The 23410-nt window shown below is 43.8% G+C and overlaps 1 protein-coding gene across 19 annotated transcripts in view, besides 2 other annotated features; it reads left to right on the top strand.

Moving 5' to 3' along the window:
- Nucleotides 1-20596, top strand: part of ERC2 (ELKS/RAB6-interacting/CAST family member 2) — a 960157-nt gene extending 939561 nt beyond the window's left edge. For all 19 annotated transcript variants that reach the window (NR_132749.2, XM_017006156.2, XM_047447950.1 and 16 more), the window contains one exon: nt 17631-20596. The gene's annotated coding sequence lies outside the window, so the exon portion shown is untranslated. The remainder of the gene's footprint in view (nt 1-17630) is intronic.
- Nucleotides 8905-9406: an enhancer, noted in NCBI's record as "H3K27ac hESC enhancer chr3:55553529-55554030 (GRCh37/hg19 assembly coordinates)". NCBI's record gives its function as "activates a minimal SCP1, AML or CMV promoter by ChIP-STARR-seq in primed H9 embryonic stem cells {active_cell/tissue: H9 hESC(primed)}" and the evidence as "EXISTENCE:reporter gene assay evidence [ECO:0000049][PMID:30033119]".
- Nucleotides 16550-17051: an enhancer, noted in NCBI's record as "NANOG hESC enhancer chr3:55545884-55546385 (GRCh37/hg19 assembly coordinates)". NCBI's record gives its function as "activates a minimal SCP1, AML or CMV promoter by ChIP-STARR-seq in primed H9 embryonic stem cells {active_cell/tissue: H9 hESC(primed)}" and the evidence as "EXISTENCE:reporter gene assay evidence [ECO:0000049][PMID:30033119]".

The raw sequence follows: 23410 nt of genomic DNA, 5'->3' as shown, positions 1-23410 counted from the left end.
CCCATCCCCATATCCCTCCCCACCCCCAGGGACATTTGGCAAGGTCTGGAGACATTTTTCGTTATCAAACTAGGGTACTACTGGCATCTGAGTGGGTGGAGGCCAGGGATGTTGCTAAACATCCTGTAATTCATAGAGCAGACCCCACAAGGAATTCTTAAATAAAGAATAATCTCAACAAGTCAGAAATGACTTGTCTTACAGAAAAGGACTAGACCTTGTTTATCCTTGTGTCTGTACCAGACAGTACCATACCTGCACACAATGGATGCTCAAGAAATATCTGTTGAACAAAGAAACATGAACATTTATGAATATATGAATGATTGAATATTATGCCTGCCTTGTGAGAGTGCTAAAATTTTTTTTTTTGTCAAATAAAGTATCTATGCACAGTCCCTGGCTCAGTGCCCAGCACATAGTAGGTATTCAGCGAATGGCAGCTCATGATGATGCCGATAACATTTACCTGAATTTGCTTCATACTCATTTTAAATAAGAATTCACTTGTTTTCATCCTTTGCCAAGATAATAGGCAGTCTGTGCAGGCAGAAAGCCCAGTGGGGCTTTTACAAATATTAGTTTACAAAGAATCTTTTTCATCTTGTTATTTTCCAGATAGGTAAGCCAAGGGCCACTTGGTTGTGCCTTCATTTCCGCTCCCTCTGGCAGGCTGTTCCTAGGCAGGGTTTTGTTTCTCTAAAATTATTGTTTCATTGCTTTGTTGTTCTAAAGGAACCTGTTGGTTAATATTAATGCATTTTTATCTTGGGCCATTTCCTTCAGGTTCTTTTTTCCAATCTGCCATCATATTTTGCTTCATCCTTTTTAATATCAGTGCTGCTTATGAAGCCCTTTCATGTACATATTACCCCTGATCCTCCAAGGAAGCCTGTGGGGTGTTACTATCTTTATTGGACAGGTAAGGAAACTGAGGCTCAGGACATTAAATCACAGCTGAGGAGTGGCCTCTGACTCTACCCTGACTCTACCCTATTGCCTCCTCCTAGGATTTGAGAACTAGAAGAGATTGAGAGACAGAGATCAGAAAAGGGGAGTTGACTGCCCAAACCCACGCATGAAATAGTGCCCAAGTCTCTGATGCTTCCATCCTATAGTTTTTAGCTCTTATTTTCTTTCCCACCTATACCTGAGAATCATTTTGCGATTGAGTTTCTCATTCATTCATTCATTCCAGGAGGAGGTATGGCATGCCTCTGTACTTTGTTGTGATGTCATGGGAAGACTTCTGGGTTGGGGTTTTGCTCTGCTACTTATCACTGAAAAGTGTTTGCCTAAGTTACTTAATTGCCCTGAACTTCAGATTCTCTTATCAGAAGTGGAGATGACAACCCTTGCCCTATGTCACAGAGTTGTCATGACGGTCAGTTGAGATCAAGGTAATAGCAAAGGGTTTGTGAACTGGAGTCTTAAGAGGATTTCGCTACGTTCTCTTCTCTCATCCTTTTCCCCCAAGTCTAGAGCTGGCAAATATGAACACTTCTTTTACACTGGCATACAACTCCACAATAAAAATGATAGTCATATTGACTAATATTTATTGAGCCCTTAAGACTGTGAGGCCCCCCACTAAGCACTAACATGTCTGGTCTATGCTATTTCTCTCAACACCTCTATGCTTTAGATATTTTTACTATCTCCGTCTGACAGATGGGGCAGTGGAGGCCCAGAAAAGTGCAGTTTCTTGTTCAAGGTTGCATAGCTAATCATGGGCTAAGCCACGATTGGACTCAAATTCAGTTGGATTAAAGAGCCCAAGGTCTTCATTCATTCACTGATTCATTTATTAAGAACCTCCTAGTGCCAGGCACTGTGCTAGGCACTGAATAGCCATGTGGATACTTCCTGACTCTCCTGCCCCCATCCAGGCCAGAACTGGGGTGGCCAGGACATCCCTTCCTCCCAAAGGAGGTGTGGAGACACGTGTGCTCCTGCTGGCCTGCAGACCCATCAGCTGTGTCAGCTGGAGTCCTGGGAAGAGGATGACATTGCTGCTTCCAGCTGGGAACAGCTGATCAGCACCAAGGGAGGGCCAGGAGGCTTTGGCTGAGCTGCATGAGGAAGTCCAACCCCAGCAGCAGCACAAGCACAGCGATTGTGCACCAAGGCCCCGTGAAGACCCTGGCCCGGGGACGAGTCCCCTCGTGCTTCCTGTGATGCTGCCTGCCAGAGCCTACTGTTTGGGACTTTTGTCCCTCCTGGCTCATCTTCAGGGGTTTCCTTGGGACAGAGTTACTTCATGGCCAATTGAAATCTCTGAAAAAACCTGTTGGGGCTTTCATAGTGCAAACACAACTGTTGCCTGTGGACAAATATTGACTTTTGGTGCTAACTCTCTCACGGACAGCCACCCTTGGGAGAGCCACGACGCGGGCCTTTGAGCACAAGTTGCTCAACCAGGTCAAAGGGAGACAGAAGCAAGAGGAGATGCTTCTTGGATCTCAGATGACCCTCTCCCAAATGGACCCCCATGGTTTCAGCACCAAGGCTGCCTGGAGTTTCAGTTTTATTGGGAGCAGTGCAGCAGAACTCCACCATGACTCCTGTATTAGTTTCCTAGGGGTTCTGTAACAAAGTACCACAAACTGGTTGGCTTAAAACAACAGAAATTTATTCTTTCATGGTTCTGGAGGCCAGAAGTCCAAAATCAAGGTGCTGGCAGGGCCATTCCCTCTTCGAAGCCTCTAGGGGAGACCCTTCCTTGCCTCTTCCGAGCTTCTGGTGGTTGCTGGTACCCTTGGCATTCCTTGGTTTATAGATGCATTGCTCCACCCTCTGCTTCCATCACCCCATGGCCTTCTCCCTGTATGTATTCTGTGTCTCTGTGTCCAATTTTTCCTCTTCTAAGAACACCAGTCATTGGATTAAGGCCTATCCTAATTCAGTATAACCTTATCTTAATTCAAATATATCTGCAAAGACCCTATTTCCAAACAAGGTCACATTCACATTTACTAGCGGTTAGGACTTGAAAATATCTTTTTAGGGGACAGAGTTCAACTGACACCACCCAAGGAATTGTTCTTCCCTTAAGGAAAGGTTATGTAGTCCCCACCTGCCTCCACCCAGCTTCCACTTTGCCCTGAAGTCACACATCTGGCCAGGTCACTCCCCTTCCATGGTGTCCCACTGCCTGAAGGCAGCATCTAGTCTCCTTAATGTAGCCATAAAGTCCCACGTGGCCTGGCCTTGCTTGCATCTCTGCCCTGACTCTGCTACTCCCCCCTTCCCATTCCATGTTGTGTCCTTGGTGCTTGAGGTTCACTGGGTCAGCTTTGGCCTGGCTCTATTTCAGGCCTTACCACATGCTGCTTTCTGCTCAGATGGTTCCTCTCTTCCCTCTTCCACTCGGTAGCTCCTACTCACCACCCCTCACATCTCAACCTGGAAGTCATCTTCTATGAGGAATGTTTGCTGGCCCTCTCTGACACCATATGAGGTGTCTCGGGGCATCCTGGGCCCCCATGAACTCACACATCACATTGTATTTCAGTTGTCTTCTTACCCATCTGTGCCCCTGACCTGGCTGCAAGTCTCCCAGATTAGGGTTTATGTCCTACTCCCCCTCAAATCCCCAGTCCTGGCCCATGGCTGGCAAAAATGATTGCTTGTTGAATTGAAGAACTGAATGAATGCATGAATGAATGAGAAAATAGGCAAAAATTATAACTGTATCCCAGCCACCTTCCTAATTTTGTGAAAATTAAAGGAAATTCTTCTGCCTTCCTGCTCTTGACACCCTACCATTGCATTCAACCCAAGCCAATACTCAGAGAAATGATGCTTTAGAAATTGTTAGTGTGCCAGGGTTTGGTCAGGACTGAGGATAAACCATGAGGGTAGTTCCTGGAGGAGTCTTGATTTGTCATCAGGAATGTCCAGCCTTGGGCCATCAGCACTAACGATGACCAACTGCGGTACCTGTGGCCGTCTTTTGAGTTTTCAGCTCCATTTCCTTTCTCTATAAAGGTGGAAGGCACCCAAAAATATGGATAAACTCAGCTAATTTCTTCTGCTTTGGCACATGTAGCTTTTGTGCATGATTGAACACCTCAGCCCACTGAAGAATAAAAACTGTAATTCCTCTCTCTCTCTCTTTTTTCATTGTGTTTAGCCAAAACAAGCTGTGAAAGAATGTAAAATATATCATTTTGTTGGCACCCGTTCACAAGTGAGTCAGTGAGCTTGCTCACATTTACAACTAAAATTGGATTTTAACCTTCCAAAAATTTATGACAACTGCTCCTTCTTGTGGCTTAAATGTTGACATATAATTAATTTAGGATTTCTTCCCAAGTCTTCCTGTCCAGGTTTGTACCTGCCACAGAAATATCCTTGAAAGTTTATCTAACAGCTGGAGCCATGAAAAAAAAAAAAAAAAAAAACCACTGGAGCTTTGTAAAACAGGGTGGGCTATGCCAACAGGAAGAGCCCAAGAGAAAGTACGAGGCTGCCAACGTGGCTGGCTGCCAGAGGTGCCCCAGGTTGGAGGCAGGGAATTTGCAGTTTTGGGGAAGCTTGGGGTTCCTTCTACCACTGTTCCTTCCTGGCCCCAGTGATGTGTTCTCTCTTTACTGTGCACACATCTTTTCATGAAGATGACCAAGCCCATACATAACCTGGGCATGAACACCCCACTGTGGTTATTTCTGCACTCAGGATCAAGCTGGTCCTATTGCCCAGCTCTCTGCTGTATGGGCGAGTATAGAGGGGGAGATAATAAGGACTACTTCTCATTGCACTCCTGTTATATGCCAGCCATTAGTAAGGGACTTTATAGGCAGAGTTCATTTTGTTTTATGTTCTCAACCACCTGGAGAGGTTAGAGTTACTATCTTCACTTTGGAGATGAGAAAACTGAGGCTCAGAGAGGTTAAGTGACTTACCTGAAGTCAGCAAAATGGAAAGGGGAAGGAGTAATAGGTAGTCTACACATACGAAGCTCCTGTTAGGCCCTGTCTCCGGCTCTCACTTTTAGTGCTTATGGCAGCAACAAATTATCTAGTCCAAAATGTCAGTAGTGCTGAGGTTGAAAATCACTGCTGCAGAAGCATTTGGGGCTATTCCTGGCACACAGTCAGCATTTGATAAATGTGTGTTACCATCAATGAACTTAGTTAGCTCTCTTCTTCACCTACTTCAATATTTATTGCATGCCCACTGTGTGGCAGGAACACAAGAAACACTTCAGTGAGCAAGACACACATAGCCTGTCCTCATGAACGCAGCCTAGGATGCAGTCAGGCATTAATCAGATCCTAACACAAATGTCTGATGCCAAGTTGCCCAGAAGCAGGAGTGCATATGGGGAGAGGGGGGAGAAATTGTCAAGACGGTGTTTGGCAAGAGGATTGGACCAGGAAGGGAAGTCAGGAAGGCTCCCCTGAAGAAGTGGTATTGAAGCTGACATCCAAGGATAAGCAGAAGGTAGCCAGATAAAGGATGATGGGGAAAGTGCCCAAGTGAGAGGGAACACCTATGCAAAAGCTCTGAAGGAAGACCCAGCCATGTGCCTCCTCCAGCAGTAGGAATCTCTGTTCATGGATTGGCACCCCGGATCAGGAATTTCATACATCTCTGTAGAGTTTTGCAATATCACTCAAGGGACTAGCTCCCAAGCAAGTTCTCCGTAGCAAAGCTGAGGCCACTGGTATATCCATGGGTCTTCCAGGGGACTCTGCAGTCCTGCTGCATTGGGCTTTGGCAGTGGCTTCAAGGGTGCCCCCGGAACCCACTGGCATTATGCCTCAGGTGACCACTTTGTCATGCCCCAGTCCCTTGGTCTCTGGCCCAGGTCTGCCCAAAGGCATTTCCTAGCCTTCAGTCCTGGATGCCAACCCAGTCTTAGAGGAGTTAAGCCTGAACCCTGCCTGCCAGGACTTTGGGATTTAATAGGGAAACTTCCAGCCAGTTCACATATTATGAAAACACATTTTCCTCTCTTTAATCTTCAAAGTGACCAGGGACAAAAGCAGCACAGAAATTCCCTCTCAGGGTACGTCTACATCTAAGTTGGAAACATGTATGATAGCTGGAAGCCCCATAACAGATGGGAGAATGGGCCCATCTTGGAGGCCCATTGTTACAGCTCTCCCAGTTACACGTGGAGACATTTACAGAGTTCACTTATATCCCTGAGTGGGAGCTGGAGATGGGAGACCAAGGGTTTCAGCCCTGGGCCCTTGTGCTTCATGCAGACCTACAAGGGCAGGCTTTGGCATGGGATTTAAATATAAGTTCAAACCAGAGAGTATGTCTGCTTTTTGGCACTGTGCAAATGTGACTGGCCTCAGATTCCCACTGAAATAACCTCTGCTTGCTTTTCTCAAACTCCTCATTCTTTGGAGGGGAATGTTATTGTTTCCCTTTAAGGTGGTCTGTTGGGCAAGGGAGGGTGGGAAGGAAAGGAGAAAGGAAGGAAGGATTCCTGTAGTTTTCATAAACAAAGATTGAAGACAATATAAAATCCAGACTGAATCTGCCTTTGTATCTCATTTAAGAACCCACTTCACTTTCAACTCTGCAGACCAAAACGAGGTAGCATTCTTCCTGTTCCTTTGTTTGCAGGTGAGGATTAGGGCCCAGAGAGGCAGCATATCGTTAAAAGGCCTGACTTCACCCAGCTGGTTGCTGGTTTGTGTTTATGTTTCCCTTTTCCCTTCTCCCCTACCAAAAATGGTCCCCTCCCCCCAGAGAAGACTATTTCCTTTTGTTGCGGGGAAACTCTGAATTGGTGGTTGCTTAGAAAACACATAGAAGTGTGTAGCAAGTTGAAGTTAAAAAATAGTTCATGAAATGCAAAACTCCATTTAGCCCCTATCTGCCAAGAAATAAATAGTTTAAAAAATGAATTTCAGATCACTGACAATGATGACTGTGTTTATGGCAGTGGAGTTGTCTGTCTTCAGCAGGCCATCCTTGCAGGCATACACCCAGCATTTAGAAATTAAACAAAAACACATTGAACTTGCTGCATTAGCTGTTGCCACATTGGAACGCTAATGGGTTTAGTGACCACAACCGACCCAGGCCAGCGTGTGTCAACAGCCAAAGGAGCAACCTCAGTCACTGTTTGTGCTTTGCCCAAGTTGTTACAAGCTTAATTCTTTGCAGCTTACTTTTCCTGCTGTTTTGGCTTCTCCCCCACCATGTCTTAGAAAGTGTAGCCCCAGCCCAGCCTCACATAGCAAGGCCACGGGGTCCTGGCAAGATGTCTGAAGATGCAGGCACCTCAGCCTCTTTGGTCTCATGAGCAGTTACATCAGGGCTCTGCCTACCCCCTTCTTTTGCCAGTCACTTCTATTAGGCGTTCTGGAAATGGCCCAGCCTGAAGCAAATGCAGACAGCCTCTTGATGAGCTACTCACCTGGAAAAGTGGAGTCTTTCTCTCTCTCTTCTTCTCCAAGAAAGTATGCTGCATAGCATTTCACCTCCAAGGTGGTTTCTTTGCACCACAGGCAAGCCTTCAGCCCTGCCTGAGAAACAAGGTCAAATGCCTCCATTTTTGCACAGCTGAATCAAGCACTGGGTTGTAGGATCTTGGCGGTGAAGAGGTTAAATTGCTCAAAAGGCTGGATCTGTGGTTTCCTGCCCACACTTGCTCTGGCCTAAGGCAGTGCTTGCTGTGTGGGGAGAGGGAAAGGGAGGTCTCGCCTGGACCCAGGTGGCCGACAGGCAAACCATGTTATTAAGAAGCAGGAATCGCAAAACCTTGATCTTCAAACGAGACCCCTAATTAGTCACCAGCCCAAGAGTAAATGGCATTCCACCTCAGTGAGGCGGGAAGGGCGCCTTCAAATCCTGGAGACTAATTGCCATTATTGGCTCTATGAAGATCCTGTTGTAAACACTTGTCATTGGAGCCACTTCTGGTCAGTAAACTTGAGATATCAAATTGTTCCTTCATGTTTCAAATTCTCCAGAATGCCTCTCTCTGGCTCCTTTTCTAGGAGGGGGCATCTCTTTCCCGAACATGACAGCTTTCTTAAGATCCAGTTTAGGGAGATGTCTTCCTGTGACTTGTATATGCTATGGCAGGCTCATCTTAAAACCAAGTTCTTTTCAGTAAAGGGCTTTTTAACAGTGTTTTACTTTATTTTCATTGGAATTTGAAAATGCCATCTCAAAAATAAGATAACAGGGCTTATTATCATGAAGATAATGGAGCTTACGTTTGGAGCACCTCAGGTAAGCTGACTTTTCCAAGGCCCTGGGAGGTGCCCCAGTGAAATGTTCACAAGGCCGTATCTTTTTATCAAGCTTGAAATAGTCAATTATTTATGTATTCTTTTTCTGAAAGAAGGCCTCTAAAATGGTACGAACTTTAGGCCACACAAAACCAAGATGTGTTCCACAGTATTCAAGGTGTGTTTCTCCCTTTCCTATCATGTGTTCTTGTTGCTTCTGGAGATAAGTATTTTCTCTCTTCTTAGATTTTTTTTTTTTTTTTTTTGAGACAGAGTCTCACTGTCTCCCAGGCTGGAGTGCAGTGGCACGATCTCGGCTCACTGCAACCTCGGCCTCCTGGGTTCAAACAATTCTCATGCCTCACCCTCCTGAGTAGCTGGGATTACAGGCACCTGCCACCATGCCCGGCTAATTTTTTTATTTTTAGTAGAGACAGGGTTTCACCACGTTGGCCAGGCTCTCAGGCCATCTGTCCCCCTTGCCCTCCCAAAGTGCTAGGATTACAGGTGTGTGCCACTGCGCCTGGCTGCCTTTTTGTTTCTTGAGCCTGTTTGGCATTTGTGAAGGGTACGGTAAACTTTTCCAGGCCACATACAGGGTGCAAGGTTTTGTCTAATTTTATCCTTTTTTTTCCTTTTTTTTTGGAGACTGGGTCTCACTCTATCACCCAGGCTGGGGTGCAGTGGCATAATCATGGCTCACTGCAGCCTTGACCTCCTGGGCTCAATCAATCCTCCCACCTTAGCCTACCAAGTAGCTGGGACTACAGGCACCTGCCACCACACCTGGGTAATTTTTTGTATTTCTTGTAAAGATGAGGTTTTGTCGTGTTTCCCAGGCTGGTTTCGTCATGTTTCCCAGGCTGGTTTCAAACTCCTGGGCAAGCAATCCACCCACCTCAGTCTCCCAAAGCTCTGGGATTACAGGCATGAACCATGATGTCCAGCCTAAATTTACCCTTAACTAGGAGAATGTTTCCAGAGATTGGGATCAAGAGATCCTGGATCCATCTGCTTCAAGGGCAGCCTAGATAATATCAAACCCAGATGGCAGAAGAGATCAATATAAGGAAGTTTGGGAGCCATGGGAATTTGATCTGGTCCCAGGGTCTCAGGACCACTGGAATTCTATTATCTGGACACTTTCATGGTACTAAGTATTAAATATGTCAGCGTGTGAGAGAGAAAGGGAAGAAGAAAGTAGTAAATCATTTCTGAATACTTCTTGGAAATGGTGAGTTTTTTCATTCACCTTTAACAATGATTTTTAGCCAGCATCAATGGGCCCTGGGATGAGGTATTCCACATTAACATCCATAGCCAGCCATGTGGCAGGGCTACATTTCAGATGATGTCAAGTATCCCCTTTCTCATGGAGCTGAGCTTCAGAACTGTTTCTTCAGCAAGCTCAGGAATCACTATTACTCAGCAATAATTCCTTTGTGTGAACAGTTTAGGGCAGGACAGGGAGTGGGAGTTCTAGACACAGGCTTAGGATATTTGTTCATAGGATACCATTGTCTCTGTGATGAAAGCCACAGTTTTCCCTCTGCAGGTAACCTAATAACCTCAGGCAGCTCAGAGAGCAGAGGTACCGGCGCTACCCAAGTGGGGTTCTCCAGGATGACTCGGACATCCCCCTCTTTCCAGAGTGCAGGTGTTCTGTTTGTTGGATCAGCCCCCATCTCTGATGTCAGTAGTGGCACCCGCAAAGATTCCCAAAGCATTCTTTTAACCTGTATGTTACACTGATTTGAGATGTTAGAAATTGTATTCCAAACCTTTGGTTATTTTAACTAGTTCAGAAAAGAAAGACTATCATTAGTTTTGACAACAAACAAAACCAGTTTTTGTTCTATCGGTTGTGTTTAAAAGATTCCAATTTCAAACTAAACACAACGTGTGGTTATTCTGTCAGCGATTTATATAGCCACCAGGGCGCCACAGTTACACACTGCATACATCATTGTATTTTTAAAATGTACTTAATGAACTTTTTTTTTCTTTTCTAGTAACTACTTCATTGCCTTAAATGAATGCATTCCAATAGAATTTGTAACAAATGACCACTTTGTGTTTGCATTAATGCCAAACACGTTTAACAAATTTTTAACAAGGAAGCTTGGCAAAATGCCAAACTCCTAGAGGGACACTGAAGGAATGCTATAAATTTAAACTAGATTTCACCTTTTCACTTAACTCAGCAAGTGTCTTAGGTGTCTCGCTATCTCAGGATTGTAGCATTTCTGTTTTTATGTCAGAAAAGTTGTACATTTTCATTATTTTTATTACTGAGGTTGTACCTACCTATTTCCACAGGACTTTTCAATCTATGCAACTGTTTCTGAAATAATATGAAAGCAGCTTAGAAATTAATCTTTATTTCTCCAAAAGTGTTCATATCTTATATAGGTTGGTAGATGCATGTATGCATATACTGTACATATCTACCAACATATCACTGCTTAAAACAGCACAGTCAACCAATTGTGTACAGTAACAATTGACTAGGCCAGTGGTTGTCAAGTGGAGCAATTTTATCTCCCAGGGATATTTGGCCATGTCCTGAGACATTTTTGATTGCATGACTGGGAGAGGGGCAGTGCTGCTGGCATCTAGTGGGCAGTGGCTTGGCATGCTGCTAAACATCCTACCATGCACAGGGCAGCCCCCACAGCAAAGAATCATCCAGCCCCACATGGCCGTAGTACCAAGATGGAGAAACCTTGGAGTAGAGTGACAAAGACCTTTGGCCATGGGCAGTCTCTCCTGTTAAAGAAGGTATTCTTTTGAGGAAAAACAATCAAATACATTTCTACTCAACCAATGCTTTAAAAAGTGCATAGAGTACCTAATGCTTGTGTTAAATGGCAGATATCTGATCTTTTATTTCACTGCTTTCTGCCCTTGAGAAGACAAAAGCCCAAAATGTAGACTAGGGTGGTGCTGGGGCTGGCCGGTGGCCAGAGTATATGCAAGACCAGCCGACTCGTGCCTGGTTCTGCCAGTGGGGAGAAGGCCATGGCTGGGCGCTGGGAACCATCTTGCAGGCAAGGCTGATTGAAGGCAAGGAGAGCATATCCAGGAGATAGTTTTAGGTGTTCTGTGAACAAGCACTTTTACTTTAATAGCCATGCAATTATCATAGTGCATATTAGACAGATAATGGTTCTATTATGGCAGCAAAATAAATATTTCTTTAAAAAGGAAACATTTAGGTTTTTGATAATTTTTTTTTTTTTTTTTTTTTTTTGAGACGGAGTCTTACTCCGTCACCCAGGCTGGAGTGTAGTGGCACAATCTTGGCTCACTGCAACCTCCACCTCCACCTTCCTGGTTCAAGCGATTCTCCTGCCACAGCTTCCCTAGTAGCTGGGATTACAGGTGCCCGCCATTACGCCTGGCTAATTTTTGTATTTTTAGTGGAGACGGGGTTTCACCATGTTGGCTAGGCTGGTCTTGAACTCCTGGACTCAAGTGATCCGCCCGCCTCTGCCTCCCGAAGTGCTGAGGTTACAGGCGTGAGCCATTGCACCCGGCCAGTTTTTAGATAATTTTTAAAAAAATGTTAGTTACATATCACAGGTATTGTGGAGAGGTTACAAAAATGGGAAAAGTAGGACACAAAAGACAGGTTTAGGAAATGCTTGCCTCAAGGAGGCAGTGGTCTCTGGAGAGAATGGTCGCTGGAGTCCAAAAGACCTGGATTCAAATGAGGCCCCAGGGAGCTGGGGAATTTTACCAAAAGCATCCAGTTCTTCTAAGCTTTCGTTTCCTCATCTGCATGAGGGGCTATTAACCAACTGCATCAGTACCTCAGTGCTATCGAGCTGGTTTCAGATAATTAATGCAAAACACAGAGGGTGGTGGCAGATAGCACGCAACAAATGGTACCTGTTAATAATTCTGACCACAATAATAATGACAAAAATAAATCCTACGGAGACATAGCAGTCTGTGCTGCCATTTTGATGTACACAGCCTATATTCATTTGAATCCCTTCATTTAAAACGTTATGGATGAGTTATACCCCGTGCACAGAAACCAAAGTTGAAATACCAAGTCCCTCCACTGCCTCCTCCCAGCAAACTCCGTCATCCCTAACAGCAGTGTGCAATTCTGAGCACAGGGCTGGCCCCGCCCCACCCCCATCCCAGCCCCCAGCCCTTTGGGTTCTGAAGTGTTACATTTTATTGCCCCGTGGAGCTGTAGGAGTCCACTCTCAAGGTAAAATGTTGCTCTCCACTCATATTTTTTGAATTATGGTTTCAAGGTGGTTGCTTCTATCAAGAAAATTAAATGATTTAACATAATTTGTTGCCACTTTGATCACAACAATAATAAATAAATCTTCATGAGGAAAACGGGAAACCCATTCCACCCCGTTTTTAAAGATGTTAAGTAATAACACAGATGTAGTTATAGTTTTGGTTTTTTGTTTGTTTTTTTTTTTTTAGCAGAAACGACTCTATTGGGTTTTCCTGTGAGCAGAGTGGCTTCATGGAGCTGTTCTGCAGGATGCCCGCTGCCCCCAGAAGGAGCAGCTCTTCTCCTCCAACCGTTGTTAATTAGTCTATCAGGGGCTTGCCTTTTATGTGGGCACCACGTGCAGCGTGTTAGGGGCATCTGAAGCCGTCGTGAATGGGTGTCTGTTTTTGTACCTGGGGGCACACTGCACACATTTGGAAAGCACATGGAACATAATGGACATTAACCCAGATGTCAAAAATAGCCTGCGTTTTACTACTGTTATTAAACAGTTTCCCCTTTAACCCCTCCGTGTTTACCAAAGACCCCTTTCTCCCAGCCTGTTTCTGCAAATCACTACTGAAAGGGCAGGAGAAGAAAGCCATAATCGGGCAGGTGTCTTTATTCCAAAGAAAAACAGTCTGAAGGAATATTTGTGAGACACCACACGTTTATAGCCTGCTCTCCCTGGGGCGTCTGTCCTGGGGCGGAATCTTACTGCTGTGCTCAGTCACCCACCCCGCCCCTCACACACCCCCACCTAGAACCAAGTCAAGAGCAGCAGTCCCACCCAATACTGGTTTCTCCCCACAAAGAAAATAGCTTTATATTTTAGTATGATACTATTTATACATTCTTAGGTTTAAAAAAATCCAAAAAGAGCAAAAAAAAAAAAAGTCTGAAGGAGAAAATTTTAACGGCTGGGCACCATGGCTCATGCCCGTAGTCCCAGCTACTTGGGAGGCTGAGGCAGGAGAATCGCTTGAACCAGGGAGACAGAGGTTGCAGTGAGCCGAGATTGCGCCACTGCACTCCAGCCTGGACAACAGAGAGAGACTCCATCTCAAAATAAATAAATAAATAAAAATTAAATACAGGGGAAAAGTTTAAAACCACCACCCAGAGATAAATATTAATAATATTCTAATGTATACACTTGCAAATGTTTGTTTATGTGCATGTTGATGCAAAAATGAGATGAAGCTATGCATATAAAATGGTAATCTGCTTTTTCCACTGAAAAGTTGTGGACGGACATCTTTTCCTATCAAAAGAAAATAAAGATTGACGTCATAATTGTCATCAGTCACTTAATAAATCTTAGGCATCCCTATCACAGTTCCCCGTTCCTTTTCTTCATGGTGCAAATGTTTACATTCTCATTCATTTATTGATCTGTGTGTCTATTTGTTTCTGTCTTCCTCCCAAGAATACAGGCTCCATGAAAGCATGGACCTTGTCTGTTTTTCTCACTATTATATTCCTGGCATCAAGCACACTGCCTGACCCAGCGTGGTGCTGCATTAGTCTTCTTTGGCTACATAGCAAATTACCATAAATATGGTGGTGAAAATAGCACCCATTTATTAGCTTACAGTTTTGTGCATAGGTCAGAAGTCCAGATGGGCTCAACTGGGTTCTCTGCTTAGGATCTCATAAAGCCAAAGTCAAGGTGGACTTAGCTGGACTTTAATCTGAAGGCTCCAGGAAGCATCCACCTTCAAGCTCCTTCGGGTTTTTGGCAGAATTCATTTCCTCGTGGTTGTAGGTCTGTGGTCCCTGTTCCCTTGCTGACAGTCACCTGGGTGACATTCTCACATCCTATAGGAAGCTCTCAGGTCCTTGCCCCTGGCTCCCTCCATCACAGCACAGCCAATCCCTCTGGTTTCAGATTTCCCTAACTTTCTCTTCTGCTACAGCAAATAAAAGTCTCTGCTATTAAAGGGCGTCTGTCATTAAATTAGGTCCACTCAGATCCACCCTTTTTTAAAAAATTTTATTTTTTATTTTAGACAAGGTCTTACTCTTGTCTGGAGTGGCACAATCACGGCTGGAGTGGCACAATCCCAGCTTACTGGATTGGCAGGCTGGAGTGGCACAATCACGGCTTACTGCAGCCTCGACCTCCCCAGTTCAGTTGATCCTCCCACCTCAGCTTCTCAAATAGCTGGTACCAAAGGGGCATCCACCACACCCAGCTAATTTTTAACTTTTTTTGTGGAGACGGGTTTTTGCCATGTTGCCCAGGTTGGTCTCCAATTTCTGGGCTCAAAATATCCACCCACCTCAGCCTCACAAAGTGCTAGGATTACAGGCATGTGCCACCTCGCTTAGTTGATAATCTCCCTTTAGACTAATTTGAAGTCAACTGATTAGTAACTACATCTGTAAGGTAACTTTATAGTAAACGTGGTCTGAAACGTTCTCACTCCCTGTGCCAGGGATTCGGATAGGGAATCTTGGATAAGGAGTAGATTTAAGGATTCTGCCTACCTGAGGTACTCTCTAAACTGGTAGGCTGGGTTTAGTGGCTCATTCCTGTAATCCCAGCACTTTGGGAGCCTGAGGCAGGTGGATCACTTGAGCCCAAGAGTTTGAGACGAGCCTGGGCAACATAGTGAGAACACATCTCTGTAAAAAAATACAAAAATTAGCCAGACATGGTGGCATGTGCCTGTAGTCCTAGCTCCTTGAGGGGCTGAGCTAGGAGGATTGCTTGATTCCAGGAGGTCGAGGCTGCTGTGAGCCATGATCACACCACTGCACTCCAGCCTGGGTGACACAGCAAGACCCTGCCTTAAAATAAAAGATATGTATATATATATATACATACATGCACACACGCTCTATTGGATGTACAAGTCTAGACAATTCATCAGAAGGGGACTCTGCAGTATATGTGAGACTTCCCACTCTATATCACATCCGAGAGGGTCAAGAAAGGCTTCTTGGGAAGACATGACATCCAAGCTGAAACTGAGGAATAAACAGGGATCGATCAGATAAAGAGCTGGTGTAAATCATGTTAGATAGAGAGACACGCTTGTGAGAGGGGGAGAAAATAAATTTTTAGGGCTGCAGAAGCAAGCTCAGCTTTGGTGGAACATAAAGAGTGGAATGTCAGCGTTAAGTACAGGACTGCAGAGAGAGAGGCCAGATGGGGCCTCGCCAGTATGGCCAGGAGTCCATCAGTCCTGCATTCTCAGGGCAACGGGATTATAAACAGGGTTGTAAACAGGAGTTGTAAACTGTAAACGGGAATGCACTATGGACTGGATGTCACCATTGAAATGGCGCTGTTGTTGGCTGCTGCGTTGAAAGCGCAGAGTTGGGTGCTGTAAGAGGAAGCTGGAGAAGGGTAAGGGCCGCTGTGACTGTCCAGGTGAGGGAGGACTGGCCAGGGATCATCTCACAGTGGGTGGCAGCCCAGATTGGCTCATTGCTGGAAGCCAGGATTCGTTTTTTATTTTTATTTTTAAAGCATATGCTTCTTTGCCCCCCCAGAAGGGATCATCTGCATTTCTAAATGCTGGCGGTGTCACTTGAGGTTTCCTTGTTGTTTTTCTTTTTTTCCTTAAAGCCATTTAGGCCTCCTGGTGAATGGATTGTTCGATTGAAAGAATGGCTACACTTTTTGAGAATTCTCTTGTCTCCAGCATAAACCTTACCCAAAAGCAGTTTGCTGCAATTGTGGGGCATTGTATTCTGCCTTGTGACCTGCTGCCCAGCTGGAAATCTTTCTCACAACTGAATAAATGACTGTTCTTTGCTACTTTATCTTGGAAAAACATCAAGGACATCAGACATTCACTGTAATTATTTTTCATCTGTAAAACAAAACAAAACAAAAGACTGGTGCATTTTAATACTACTTAGGGTTTCTCTTTACCTTTTAATCATGTGGCCTTTTAATATATTGGTCAGCCCTTTAAAAGGATGATTAAGAAATGCTTAATGCACAAAAGAATTAGAGCTATGCACAGCTCATGAAACAGAAAGCGTGCTCTGACTTACAATTTTCATACAAAGTTTGCAGAGAGTTTATGTGCCAGAATGAGTAATATGATCTGCTCTAGGAACTCCCTAACTTTCTGGCTCTGCAAAAGTCATTTTTTTGCCCCGATTCAAGTTTCTTAACCAGAAGGGTTACACCAAAGTCCTCAGAGTATGAATTAGCAGAGTTCATCCAAGCCACATATTTCATTTGCACTACTTAACGATGGCTTGAAATAGCTGGCTACCTGTGCAGACACTGGGATCTTTGGCATTCTTGTTAGTCGGCGTGACTCGAAAAATGCTGCATATCAACCACCAAATGAGACAGCTCAGGATATATATACAAGGTGACTTGTGTGTACACGAGTGTGTGTGTGTATGTTTGATCTTTCCTCTCCCTGCCATATTTCCCAGATAGCTGAGCTCATGTGGCTGGAAACCCAGAAGCACTCACAGGCCATATGTGAATGATAATGGCACAGGCACACAAAGTTGAGCATCAGCAGGGAAGAAAGTCCTCATCTGAAGCAGTAGTGTGGGAGGGATCCCCCTTCTCACTCATTGCACTATTGCTTCCCAGGATGCAGTTGTATCCACACTCTGGGCCCCTCACTGGGACAGTGAGAAACCTTGGGGTGCTTCTGGATACCTGTTCCCCAGGGCAGTAAATAGACAAATGGATGACTGTCACATTTATGTTTGGTTGGTTTTTAAGTGCATGCTAAGTTCTCTGATATCTTAACCACCTTTAATTCTTTAATCTCCATAAAATCAAGTTAAAAAATAATTTTAAAAACATCATCATTGTAGAAAAGCGTAGAGAGAATAAAAGTTGACATATAGTCCGATTATGTGGAAATAATCACTGGAACATTTTGGCATATTTCCCTTCAATTTCCTTTTTTGTATATCAAGAGACATTTATACATATACGTGACATATTTTGAAAGAGGCCTCTTCTCAGATGCACTTGCAGGACGTAGTTTATCTTTCTGTTTCCTTTGTCCTTCCTCTGTGTTTCTTCCCCTTACCCCCTCCCCACTCCCACCCAACCCCAACCATTGAGAGTGGTGGAGAGGCTGTTGTAGGGGTGAAGAGTGGGAAACGTTCTGCCAGGATTATCTCAGATATTGTTGCCAGTTTCTTCCCCTGCTAAATTATGTGCTTTCTTGTTGCAGCTATTAGAAGGGCTGAATAAAGGGAACATGCAGCTCTGCAGCAATATTCTGATAATGTATTGCAGTGCGGCTCACATCACTGTCCACCACCACCTGGAGCGGCTCATCAGAACTGAAGGGGAGTTTTCACTTACCTTATTGAGCGTGATTCTGTTCTACTTGATATTTCCTTCACCACCTCATGTCATTTCTCATGGATTTGGTTATGATGGAAAGGAAGAATGCAGAGGAGGAGAAAAGTGACAGATCCTCCATTTTTGTTGGGATGCGGGCATTTTGAATGTGATCATCTTTGCTGAATGTCATTATTTGATAACATTTTGTTTATGTTACTTAAACATCATTGGATAAATTTGAACTCCATGGGATTTTATCTGTGGATTCAGCTTCTGTTGGACAACTAGCCTCATCTCCAGTATCCTGCTGGTTCACTCTAATTGGTCATTCCTAATGCATTAGATTATCAAAAAGTATAAATTCGCTGTGAGTGAGTGGTGTTGGCAGTGTTTGTATACCATGATGCATGGAGTGTTTGACGAAGAAACAAAAAACACCAAAAATTGCGAGCCTTTACCCTCCTCTATTTCTTTAATCTGTTGTTTGAAGAACCGCATTTTGAGGGTGTAACCAGTAGTCACCTCTGGGCCAGGTTGGAAAAGAAATCAATTTTTTAAACCACTAATGCTTGCCAAGAAATCGCCTTATGAGAACATGGTGTGTGTCTCTGACAATGCGTGGCACATCTAAATTGATCATTCATAATTTTATCTACCCAGTCATGTACTGGAGAGTGGCAAAAGTCTGAGGCACCTGCATATCTCTAGTCCCTGTGTTCTGCACATCCCCACGGTGGGGACGCCACCAAGCCTCAGACTCTTACCATCCCGGTGCATGCAGGTCTCCATGAAGAAGCTGGGACTCATTCACATTTCAAGATCCAAATGCTGTGCAAACAGTGTAAGCTTAGATTTTCTGTAAATGAAGGGTCATTTCTCTTTTTTTTTTTTTTTAAAGAAAATGTGTCTGCAACATGGATTCCAAAGCATTTTCAGCATCAAACATGAAAACATTGATGAATGAGGAACAATCACAAAAGCTGTGTCTCTGTATATAGCTCTACACAACATGTATGTGGATACAGTCATTATTTAAAGCACATGCCAGGGAAAAAGACCAAATTTTGAGGTCTTTTACATACAGTGATATGGTACTAAGGAGAATTAAACTCCTACTGCTTCCTCTGAATATTAAGAAACAATTTAAATTGTTATAACTTCATAAAACTCATGACTGAGTCTGGCAAACATGTGCAACTCTTGTATTGCTCCATTTTCTTGTCAATGGAAGAAACCCTTCCACGTGTATGCAAGTGGGAGATGAAAACCTGCATTTTTAAAGGACAAACAGTGAATTTAAGCATGAGTGGCCTTAATAAATATAGTTGTCTTTCTTTGCTGCTGTGGAAAGGATTCTAAACAGATGTCCCTGAAGTCTTGCATTGAATTTAGTCATTATTATTACTTTTTAAAATGTTGGTGCAATTAACTCTGGACCTCTCTTGTGAGCCATAGAGATATTTAAAAGACAAACACCTTATTTGTCGGGGAAGATGAAACCGTCCCTGAGTTGCACCATTCTTTCTTGGTGCATTCGCGGTTAAGATACTCAAGCAGGTTTCTTGCTTCTGGCTTTGTTCTTGTCATCAGTAAGTATAACAAACTATGTAATGCTTATGTGTTGCATAAACAATCCAAATGCATTCATGTTTTAAAAGTTTGTCCTTTAACTATCAGAGGGATCTAGGTCTTGGTTAGAGAAGTAAGCAGAGTTCTTTGCAAGCTTATTTAGCACATTTTGACACAATGTTGCACTGAAAACCCAGGCCACAAATGTGTCCCAGTGAACAGTTTGGATGTCCTCAAAGAAGTGGTTCTCACTGCCTCCTACAACCAGGTCTTGACCTGAACTCTGCAACTGAATACTTGAAGTAGGAAGTAGGAAATCCAGTAGGGAAAATAGGGTCCTTGAAACAGAAAAAAAAAACCAACCCATGTATAGCTAGCTATTTCTATGTATGTGCCAATTTTGTCACAGCTCTTGTTTGGAGGGATCATTTTCTGCCCAACTTTCATTGGTTAAAATATTACTGATCTTACCTTTATGAGGTCGTATAATTTAGTCCCTTAAAAATTAAATTCTCTCTAACATAACAACCTTTCCCATTTCGTGTAATATTCTCTGATGTTTGGGGGTTACCAAAAATATCCCTTTTTCACATATTAAGAATAGTCTCTGGGTTTACAACAAACACTGTGATGTTGGGAAGCTATTTCCTTTGCGCAAACTTTAACAGGTTTTCTTCTAATCATAACATAGTTGAAAAAAGAAGTTTGGGCTAACATTTAGGAGAAGTTGGTCTTACTTTGTGCAAAAGCAGGCTTGTGCTTTATACCCCATTTGATTTCGATGTACAGTCTCAATTTTGTATTTAATGATTTTTGTGTATCCAGTATGCACGTTAACAGCGTGTCAACTTTCATTTGAAAGTGGGTTTCAATTTACTTTTTAAACAGTGTTTATGACGAGACCTCAGATGTGTTGACGTAAGCTCTATCTGCAATGTTTTTGTGTAGAGTGGCGATTGAATGCTGCCCAGGGTCAGTGTATCTAATTCCCCGAGACCCTCGTTTGATAGTGCTTCTTGTAATATTTCTTCAAGTGAGTGGCATGTGGGTTGTGATATTGACCATGTGATTATGGACATCGATATGAAAAATAAATAAATAAAACTAAGGAACCCTGGAAACTACCAGTGGGCATGTATTAGCCAGTCATTGTAACCTCGTGTCTAGTAGAACAATGTACAAGGTATGTACAGTTCATAAATTTGTTGTCATGTGTATGAGAAGTACTTTGTGCTGATCGCCTTATTTATATTCATCAAATAAACCTTGTTTCTTTCTGAAGTGAGTTCATTCTATCTCTAATAAATGCTCCAATTGTGCAGTTTCTAACATTTTGAGGGTCATGGATCCCCATTTGAAGAACCCTATGGACTTAAGTAAAAAGGGAAGTCATTGGCTCATTTAACTGGAAAGGCAAAGACGTAAGTCTTCCTTTATGTACAACTGGATCTAGAGGTTCAAATTAGAAAATCAGAAGTTCACATTAGGAAATTTAAGTTACTGTCATTGTCTCCCTTCTTCCTTTCTTCTTTCCTTTCTCTTTTTACCTTTCTCTTTCTCACTCTCTCAATCTCTTCCTCTGTCTCTCCTGATCCCTCCCTCTCTTCCTCCTTCTCATCTTTTGTCTCTTCCCTTTTTCTTTCTCCCTTTTCTTGTCTCTCCCTCCCTCTCCCCTTCTTCTCCCTTTCCCCTCCTTCTTCTCTCCCTGTTTCCCTCTGCACTTTCTATTGGGTTGGCTTTGGACTCTGGTAAGCTCTCTCCACTTGGTTGTAAAGATGACTTCCAACAGCTTTGAGTACTTTTGATTTTTAGAGGAGAGACTAACTCTCTGAGCTACATCTACATCTGTCCCCTAAAGGGACACTTGGTGATTCTTTTTTGGATCATGCAAACAATTACCTTTTTCAAGGCCATGTGGTTGACAGCCTCACTGGTGGGGGTGGGGGGAGCAGTTTCCAACAAGGGAAAATGGATTCTATTCTAGAAGAGAGGGACAAGAAAGCTAGGCAGGCAAAAATACTAGCTAGCCCTGCCACCACTTGGATACACACACAATCGTCCATGCAAGGGCTCACCAGCCTTCACAGCGTGTCTGTGGATCAGTGAAGAACCTCATTGCTAGCTGTCCTTTTTTAGCCTGCAGAACCAGCCCCTGGTTCCTTTAATGGTTTGATTTATATGCCAGGGGATGAATTTCCAATTCTTACCATGGCTGAAATCACTGAGTAATTGATTGTCAGAGCTAGAAAGTATGTTAGATGTCATGTAATCCAACATCTTCATTTTACCAGATGGAGAAACTGAGGCCAAGTCAGAAGTGACTGATCCACACATACATGGTAAGTTCATGGCAAACCAAGACTGTCCTCAGAGCTCTTGAAACAGGAAGATGTGTCCCTGAAGCTCTTTGAGAAGGAGAGGAAGGAACAAAACCTCCCTCCAGCTGCCCCTTAACAACATGGGGGAAATATCATTTTGTTTCTGTACTCAAAGAAACATTTCTGGGCTCAAAGCCACCACATGTGACCTTCCCTCAAAGTTGGGTACTTTTGGGGGGACGTGCAAAGTTGTTGGCCCTTTCCATTCTGTTGCCTTTTTATAGAAAGAGAACTTCTTGCTGGACAAGAATTTCTTGCCTCCTAGAATTTCCTGAAGCAGCAGCTGGCATTCAGGCCTGGCTACGTAAACCCATCTGGCCACATGGAACCTTTGCTTCTTTACCCACAAGTTGGTCTTTTTGGTAAGAAGGGTACCAGGCTGACACACTGCTGGACTCCAACTGCAGGTTCATCTGTACCTTTAGCTCCATGGAAGCACATAGACTTAAGTTTGGTACTCTGGAGGTTTGACTGCATCTGATATCTGTGGACTGCCATTACAAAAGATTGGAGAGACATCCTAATTCATAGAATTACTGATCTGTAATAATAATCATACTACTAATAAATAACTGAACATTATTGAGCATTCGCTAAGAACCTGGCCACAATGCTAAGGACTTAGGTGGATAGACTCTGTTTATTCCTGACAACAGTCCCACGAGGTAGATACTGTCATGACCCACATTTTACAGTGAAGGAAATGGAGCACCACAGAGATGACCAGAAGCAGCATGCAATTCCAGATTGTATATTTGATGCCAGTGTTGTGCTAAAGGCTTTGCTTACATGAACTCTTATCCTCATAGGAATCCCTTGAGGCAGGCACTATCATTGACCTCACTTTACAGACAAGGAAAAGAAGGCCTACAGAGTTTACGTACCTCATCCAGGGTCCCCCAGATAGTAAGTGGTGGAGCCAGGCTTTGAACCCAGTGCCCAGCAGGCTCTTCTGCTTAGGGCAGGTATTGAGGTATCTCACAGGTCAGACCAGTGAGACATTAGGGGCTGAGGTTCAGATCCCACTTAGTGTTTCTGGGATGCATTTGGTCTCTAACGTGGCCACATGGCACACAGGGCCTGAAGAGGCTGGTGGCTTCATCACTGACTTCCATAGTTAACCAATAGTACAAGAGAATGGACTACCACACAGAAAGGCTGTGGCTCCCACGGGAAATCAAGACACAAGGAAAAGGAGAGCCTAGATAAAGCTCAGTGCACTGTATTTAACCTTGCTACCCTCGGGCCTCTTGGATTTCTTCCAAGCCCTCAGTCTCTGGGCACCAGCCCAGCTCACCTCACAGGCATCCCTGAACATCCTTGGGGTTGCAGATGGAGCACCGAGTGACAGAGGACTGAACAGATCCCCCCCAACCCTGAGGTGGGAGAGGGCCTTGGGTACCATGCTAAGGGGTGTGTGTTCAGGTGACAATAGCATCAGATTGGTAATCAATATACCTCAACTAAAATCTCAGTTGTCTAACCATTTTGCGACACCTGTGCTTGGGAAAAGCATACAGTCACGTAACTGCATGTGACCTCTGTTTTTGAATATAATCAGTGGGAACAACATAGCTCCCAACTACCTGATATGGGATGTGAGTGGACAGAACAAGGCAATTCATGAGAAAACACATTTTAATAGCAAAACTCTTCCACAACTCTAACAAAGTCCTAGAGCCGCTTGTTTTCATTTTTAGAATGTACATTCAGAGAA

The sequence above is a fragment of the Homo sapiens genome, chromosome 3 (genome assembly GCF_000001405.40).
Source record: "Homo sapiens chromosome 3, GRCh38.p14 Primary Assembly".
Taxonomy (NCBI): Eukaryota; Metazoa; Chordata; class Mammalia; order Primates; family Hominidae; genus Homo; species Homo sapiens.
Note: the sequence above shows the minus strand (reverse complement) of the source record. Positions and strands in the feature narration are given on the sequence as shown.